At 53.2% G+C, this 6898-nt stretch overlaps 6 annotated features.

Annotated features, from left to right (window-relative positions):
* Positions 1731-1780: a silencer, noted in NCBI's record as "silent region_6647". NCBI's record gives its function as "represses an Ori minimal core promoter by ATAC-STARR-seq in GM12878 lymphoblastoid cells {active_cell/tissue: GM12878}" and the evidence as "EXISTENCE:reporter gene assay evidence [ECO:0000049][PMID:35858748]".
* Positions 2041-2090: an enhancer, noted in NCBI's record as "active region_9748". NCBI's record gives its function as "activates an Ori minimal core promoter by ATAC-STARR-seq in GM12878 lymphoblastoid cells {active_cell/tissue: GM12878}" and the evidence as "EXISTENCE:reporter gene assay evidence [ECO:0000049][PMID:35858748]".
* Positions 2381-2440: a silencer, noted in NCBI's record as "silent region_6648". NCBI's record gives its function as "represses an Ori minimal core promoter by ATAC-STARR-seq in GM12878 lymphoblastoid cells {active_cell/tissue: GM12878}" and the evidence as "EXISTENCE:reporter gene assay evidence [ECO:0000049][PMID:35858748]".
* Positions 2572-3119: an enhancer, noted in NCBI's record as "H3K4me1 hESC enhancer chr15:74667008-74667555 (GRCh37/hg19 assembly coordinates)". NCBI's record gives its function as "activates a minimal SCP1, AML or CMV promoter by ChIP-STARR-seq in naive H9 embryonic stem cells {active_cell/tissue: H9 hESC(naive)}" and the evidence as "EXISTENCE:reporter gene assay evidence [ECO:0000049][PMID:30033119]".
* Positions 3447-3496: an enhancer, noted in NCBI's record as "active region_9749". NCBI's record gives its function as "activates an Ori minimal core promoter by ATAC-STARR-seq in GM12878 lymphoblastoid cells {active_cell/tissue: GM12878}" and the evidence as "EXISTENCE:reporter gene assay evidence [ECO:0000049][PMID:35858748]".
* Positions 6384-6884: an enhancer, noted in NCBI's record as "H3K4me1 hESC enhancer chr15:74670820-74671320 (GRCh37/hg19 assembly coordinates)". NCBI's record gives its function as "activates a minimal SCP1, AML or CMV promoter by ChIP-STARR-seq in primed H9 embryonic stem cells {active_cell/tissue: H9 hESC(primed)}" and the evidence as "EXISTENCE:reporter gene assay evidence [ECO:0000049][PMID:30033119]".

The raw sequence follows: 6898 nt of genomic DNA on the forward strand, positions 1-6898 counted from the left end.
TGTTCCTGCCCGGGCCAGGGCTTATGTAGTCAGGGATTATGAAGACTGAATGTTCTGTGTCCTGGAGGAAAGGGGTCCCTGCTTTGGGGACTGTTTCTTTTTATGGATCCTGGGCTATTCCTTCTGTCCAACAAGAGTGAAATGAAGGGAAATACGGGACAGAGTTGACATAGCTTTAGGGGCAGGAGTAATTGGGGTAAAGGAGGGGAGAAGACTGGACCCAGAAGTCAAAGGCCCAGAGCCCCCGGCAAAGGAGTGTTGCCAGGTTGGGAGCCTCTGCAAAGGGCATCTCTGAGGGCTGTTCCTAGGGGCCCACCCATTGCAGCCCTCCTATGAGAACTTAACTCCACATGGTGAACTGGAACCTGAGCCCTAATCTTAGCTACCCAGGGCAGCCTCTCCCTGCTCCTCTAAATCCTCATCACTCCTGTAAGTCCAGAGGAACCCCCACACCCCAACTTGAAGGGTGAATGAGTACCCAGGCACTCCCTGCCTGGGTGCACACTGTGGCTCCTTGTCCCCCTCTATACATTGCCCAGGCTGGCTTTGAACTCCTGGGCTCAAGCAATTCTCCTGGCTCGGCCTCCTGAGTAGCTGGGAATACAGGCGCGTGCCACCGCGTTCAGCTTCATTTTTATTTTTACAGCTTCACTTCACTTCCTCAGTGCAAACATGTTAAAATATTAAAAATTTGCTGTAAAGTTTTTGAAAGGATATTTATAATTTTGCTCTTGAAACCATTTGGCTAGGAGTGACTGATTTAAATTACAATTGGGAATTCTTGTGAAATGAGAAAAACCTAGCCCACACATTCTTTCAGATGTAATGAAATTTTTATGAATACTAAATTTAACAGTTAATGAGGTTGATATAATGTTACAGTTGGACACTTGATTAAGAATTTATTGATTTCCATTTTGCAGTGTTCTTATTTGAGAGCCAATCATTTTTTCTTCAGCTGTGAAATATTCACATGGGCCCTTGGGAGGCCCCCGCTGCGGGCTTCTCTAGCGGGCAGTACATAAGTAACCAGGCCAACAGCTCTTCCCTGTCCTCCCCCTGACACACCTCGCACCCCTTTACACAGGCACATAAGGAAAAACACCCATCGTGGCTGGACCATGGAGACAGAGTCCAGTTCCAGAGGAGGAAGAGGATGGGGCCAGTCAGACAAGGGCACAGAAGCCATGCCATGCCATGTCATGTAAGCAAGAAGCTTCTTACTGCAACCAGTGGCTGGGGCTGCTAAGGGCACTAAGATTCAAGACCAGTGAGCCACGGAGGTTGGCATGGGCACCTCTTCCCTCCTGGGGACAGTAGGTAGTGGGGGCAGGAGGGGAAGGGCCACCTGCCTGGTTTACATAGTCGGCCACAGAGCGGTGGCCCACACTTATTCGACGACTATAGCCTCAGTGTTCCAGGCAGGTGTGCATGGGGCCAGCGGGCTATGAGAGGCTTCCACGTGGCACAAGGACAGCACCCCACAAGGAGAACATGAAAAAGCTAACACAGTAGCACAGGCAAGTGCACAGTACCCCAGCCTCCCCTCGGAACCAGAGGGCGGAGTGGACTGAGGCCACCCTCAGCCAGGTCTGCGGCAGAAGCTGAGGCAGAGAAATGCCACTTTGTCCTTGCTCCAGTCTCTCTCTCAGCCATTCAGATACCGCTTCCTTCACTCCAGAGCCTCAGCCGGCGCCTCTCAGATCAAACCTTGTGCCACTAGGTGGAGCCAAAGCCCACAGCAACAGCGCCGGGCTCGGACACCCAGCCGCCCGCGTGCAGGAAGGAGGTGGGCTCGCGAGGCAGGGGACTGGGGGCCCCGGGCTGAGTCTGGGCCCTACCGGGGGGCCAGGAAAGGAGTGGGAGAGCCAGCCACAGCCCACAGTGGACTTATTTGGTTTACATGGTCCGTTCCGTCCGAACTCGCACTGTAGGCTAAATGGTCCCAGAGCCAACCCCGGCAGCCGCAAATCCCCGTTTGTCAGATAAGGAGGCTGAGGGCCTGAGGGGAGGATCCAGGAGAGCCAGAACAGGGCTGAAGCCAGAGCCCGCGCCCCTGTCCACAGAGCCTTCCCCTGCACCGCTTCCGGGATGTATCCCCTGCCCGTGGGGAGGGCGCACGAGAAGAAGGTGCGGCTTCCAGAAGGGAGATCCTGGGAACGAGGCCGGGAGACACGCTTGGCTCCGGAGCCTAGGACTGGCTCCGGGGCACGAGCCGCAGTCCCCTCCAGCACCTCCTGGTGGGGGCCGCAGCTGGGATGCTGGCTTCGGGCGCCGGCGGCCGGAGCAGCGGAAAGCATCCACCTACAGAGGCTGCGGTGGAGGGGGCGGGGCGGGCGCGGACCCGGAGGCGCCGCATTGGACGAGGGGGTTGCTGGGGTTCTCGGATTGGCTGGCCATGAGGGGGCGGGACCAAGGCCAGGGCTGAGAGGCGTGAGGACCTGGAGCGTGAACGCGTGGGGAAGGCGCAGAGACCTGGCGCAGGTGTTGCGGAGCCTTCTGAGACTGGCCTAAGCTGCAGAATTGATCGAGCATCTGGAGTGGCCATCGGCCGTGTTGCCCGCAGACACAGGTGTGCTGCGACAGACCAAGCTCCAGGGTCCCTCAGGTAGCCAGGTGTGCGGCACAGCTTTGTCCCTCCCAGAACTCAGTTTCCCCAGCAGGGGGCCCGGGGACTATTCCAATCCAGTACTCTGGCCTGCCCCTCCCCTCGCTCTCACTGACCTCCCAGCAGCCAGACCAGGTAGGTATCCAGGCTCCTTCCTATCCTGCCCCCTGCCCCGCTCCATCCTCATCTTTCCCTTAAAGAAACCTCTCTCCAAGGTCCACGGTTACATCACATACAGCTTTGCACACCCAGTGCCCAGCACAGAACCCCCACCCTCTGTGGTTGTCCTTTCGCTTCTCGCAAGGTCCATGGGAGCAGGGGACCAGGCTGGGACAACATGTGGCCCCACCTGGTTGCTATAAAAGCTCAGGTAAGGAAGTTTACAGAAATATGTTGGGGTTACTGCACCTGTAAAAAGTGAAAATGGCCAATTATCATCAATGTCAAGAAGAAAAATTGCCCTTGTTGCCCTTTCACTGTAGTAAAGTGCTGCTTCCAACAAACCAGCACACAAATGCCAACCACAGGTGCATTCCGCTTGGGAGGATGGGGGAGAAACTAGTTGTTTGACTCTGTACAAGAACCAATCACCAGGTTTCCTTAAATGGCACACTTTCTTTGAAATCTGAAGCAAGAAATTACCTCTCCGGACACAACCAAGTTCATCTCGTGTCCTCTCAGGACATACAGCCGGGCTCCACTAGAGGGCAGCAGAAAGATGGAGATGCTCGAGAGAAAAGGAGACTTAAGTTAGTTCTCACCATCCGTGGAGGGTGTGAGGAACCCAATAAAAACCGTACTGGTATTAGTTCCTATTTGTTGACTGGTTACTCTAGGCCAGCCATCCCTCTGACTGATCTGTTAAAAAAAAAAATTAAGTAATTTGGGCCGGACGTGGTGGCTCATGCCTGTAATCCCAACACTTTGGGAGGCCGAGGTGGGTGGATCACCTGAGGTCAGCAGTTCAAGACTAGCCTGGCCAACATGGTGAAACCCTGACTCTATTAAAAATACAAAATTAGCCGGCCATAGTGGTGCATGCCTGTAACCCCAGCTACTTGGGAGACTGAGGCAGGAGAATCGCTTGAACCCAGGAGGGTGGCAGTGATCCGAGATCGCACCACTACACTCCAGCTTGGGCAACAAGAGTGAAACTTGGTCTCAAAAAAAAATTAATTTGATCCTGCCATTAACCCTATCAAGGTGGATACAATTGTGTTAACCCCATTCTACAGCTGAGGAAAAAAACAAGTTGAATAACTTGCCTAAGGTCACACAGCCAATAAGAAGCAAATCTGGGATATGAACCCTGAAGTAGAGCTATAAATCTGACATTCATAAACCTATGCAATTTTGCTTCCGTTGAAGAGGGAGGGAAGGATGGCGAGCAGAGGTGGCAGCTGAGGCCCCCACAGATATTACCCTTGTGGGCTCTTTAAGGCCAGTTCCAGAAGCAGGCACCAGACAGGAGCATCTAGCTAATTAAGGACCTTGGGTCATCAGGCAGGTAGGGTCAGAAAATCTGAGCTCAACCTGCACATAAACCCCACACACCTTGCAGGAACCTGTCCTAGCCCACCCATCACCATGGGTGGCCCAGCTCTCCAATACCCTGGGTGCCTGCCACCATGGTGAACCCTTGTAACCACTGTGTCCCCTCTGGCTTAGATGTGTGAAATTGACCTTGACCCACTCTCTTCCTTACCTTATAGGCAGCCTTGCCTGCCTCCACCATCAGCCAGGATCGGGCCTCCTCATGTCAGTCAAGAAGATGCCAATCAGCAGCAGCAACTGCTGCCAAGAAGCTGGAGTCCAACAAGGATCAAGGGGATGCTGGTGGGATCCTTTCCAGGGCAACCTTGAGAAGAGTTTCAGGCCAGAGCCTAATCCTTTCCTGATTTTCTTCCCAATTTAACATTTACTGAGCCGCTACTGTGGGCAGGCACCTTGCTGAGTGCACAAGGGGGACTTGCTGGGTGATCTTGAGCACACTCTTTACCACCCCCACCTCAGCTCTTGGTTAGTTTCTCTTCTGTAAACTAAGGTTGCAGAGACCAGGGGTTCTTTACTCGGGACTGAAGGGTCCCCTAAAATTGGGTGTGTGTGAGAACATCTTTCTGGGGCAGGGTTTCTCAGCCTCAGCACTATTGATACTTAGGGCCAGATCATTCTTAGATAGATCCCTCCCAGAACACACCTGTGGGCTGGCATTTGCGTATTGGTTTGTTTGAAGTAGCACTCTGCTGTAGTGAAAGGGCAACAAAGGGGCAATTTTTCTTCTTGACACTGACAATAATTGACCATTTCCAGTTTTTATAGGTGTGTTGTGACCTTTAACTCCAACACATCCCTGCAAACACCCTTAGCCCAAAATCTGACCTGTGCATTGCAAAATGCCAAAACCCACTAAATGCCTCTCTGAAGCCTCCCAGCCCCACGGCCTTTCCACCCACTCCACCTGCTGTGGCCAGGCTGGGAGGGGTGCAGGAAGGTGGCACACTGCCATGTACAATTTGGAAGAGGAAGAGCCAGGAACCCCTCCAGGCCCAGCTCTCTGTGAGCCCTGCCAAGGCCACCTACACCTGCCTGACTCTCTGGGGCCCCTCAGCCCTGGCCTGGGAAAGAGGCTTCGCCCAAATCCAAGATGCAGGCCCCTGCCACAGGGCTTACCTACACCCCTGTGAGAGCCCTGGGTAGGGGTCAGAAAATGGGGCAGAGGCCAGAGCCAGCACTGGGGGCAGAAGCAGGCAGTCCCTCCTCCCATGGTTAAGCCTGCATCCTCTCTCCTCCTGCGCGGTGGCCCTTCCTCACTGAGCACCTGCCAAATCTGCCAGGTGCGAAGCCTGCTGTCAGGGCCAGAAAGTCAGAGGCAAATTCAGGGGTGAGCTGAACAGTGTTTAACAACCAGGTCTCTGGACTGGGGTGAGGGGCCCTGATTTGTAGTCTTTGCCTATTTCTGTGGTGCAAATATTCCTACCCTGGCAGATATAAAGCCAGCAGTATTTTGTCACTGAGCGTGGAGCTGGTTCACAACATCACAAAGTGTGTGCACCACCAGGTGCAATAGACACAAATTACCTTACGAGCATGAATAATGGTAACATATAGTAAAATAATTAGGAAATGATGAGTTGCTAGTGGGTATTTCCTTTTTTAACAAAATGTATTTAAGGTTATATAATTTAAGTACCGACAATGACTGTGCTTAACAACTCGTTCGCAAAATTCTGAAAATGTGGCCACCAGCACCTATGAGCCGGTACCAGCTGGCTGCAGGCCCATCACTGGGAATTGAGTGTGGTCCCTGCTCTCTGAAGGCGACAGGTCTACCCAGGGTGGGCCGGTCTGTGGGGGGACAGAGGGATGCATGGGGGCCACGGAGAACCAGAGGAGACACTCTGTGCAGGGGTTCAGGGAAGGCTTCTTGGAGGAGGCAGCATTATAGAGAACAAAGGGGAGGGTAAATATATCCCAGAAAAGGGTAAGGAGAGAGTGCCAGGCTAGAGAGGACACTGGGGAAAGACCAGGAGAAAACAAAGTGTTTGGCGTGGTCCAAAAACTAAAAATGTGTGTCTCAGTCTGGCTGATGGGATGGCTGGGTTCCAGCCCAGGTTCTGCTGCTGATGCCTCTGTCACTTGGACCAAGTCCACTCCATTCTCTAGGCTTCTCGCCTCTGTCAAATTGGGGTCCGAACCAGATGGGTTCCAGGCCCGCTGGTGATCTAGACCCCCAAGAAGTCTGCAGAGGGGCCTTGTGAACATGTATATAGCTCATGGAGGAAGTCTGGCCCACAACTGACACTTCACAACCAGATCTTCCCCTCCCTCCTCCTCTCCCCTTCACCCGGTTCCCCCAGGTGATCCTGGAAATTCTGGTTTGGCTTCAGAAAGTAACTATAATTACAGCCTTTTTTTTTTTTTTTTTTTTGAGACAGAGTTTCGTTCTTATCGCCCAGGCTGGAGTGCAGTGACTTGATCTTGGCTCACTGCAACCTCCACCTCCTGGGTTCAAGCGATTCTCCTACCTCAGCCTCCTAAGTAGCTGGGATTACAGGGGGACCTGCCGCCATGCCTGGCTAATTTTTTTGTATTTTTTAGTAGAGACGGGTTTCGCCATGTTGGCCATAATTACAGTCATTTATAGAACACTTTGCTGCCTCTCCTAATTACCAAGCTGTGCAATTCCAGTTACGCATGTAAGGAAACATCTCAGGAACCCCTCCCTGGGGCCAGCCTGTCAACCGCAGCCCCCAGGCCAGCTGGAATGGAGTGGGAGTGCCCGTGGCTGCT

Source organism: Homo sapiens, chromosome 15 (genome assembly GCF_000001405.40).
Source record: "Homo sapiens chromosome 15, GRCh38.p14 Primary Assembly".
NCBI classification, from domain to species: Eukaryota; Metazoa; Chordata; class Mammalia; order Primates; family Hominidae; genus Homo; species Homo sapiens.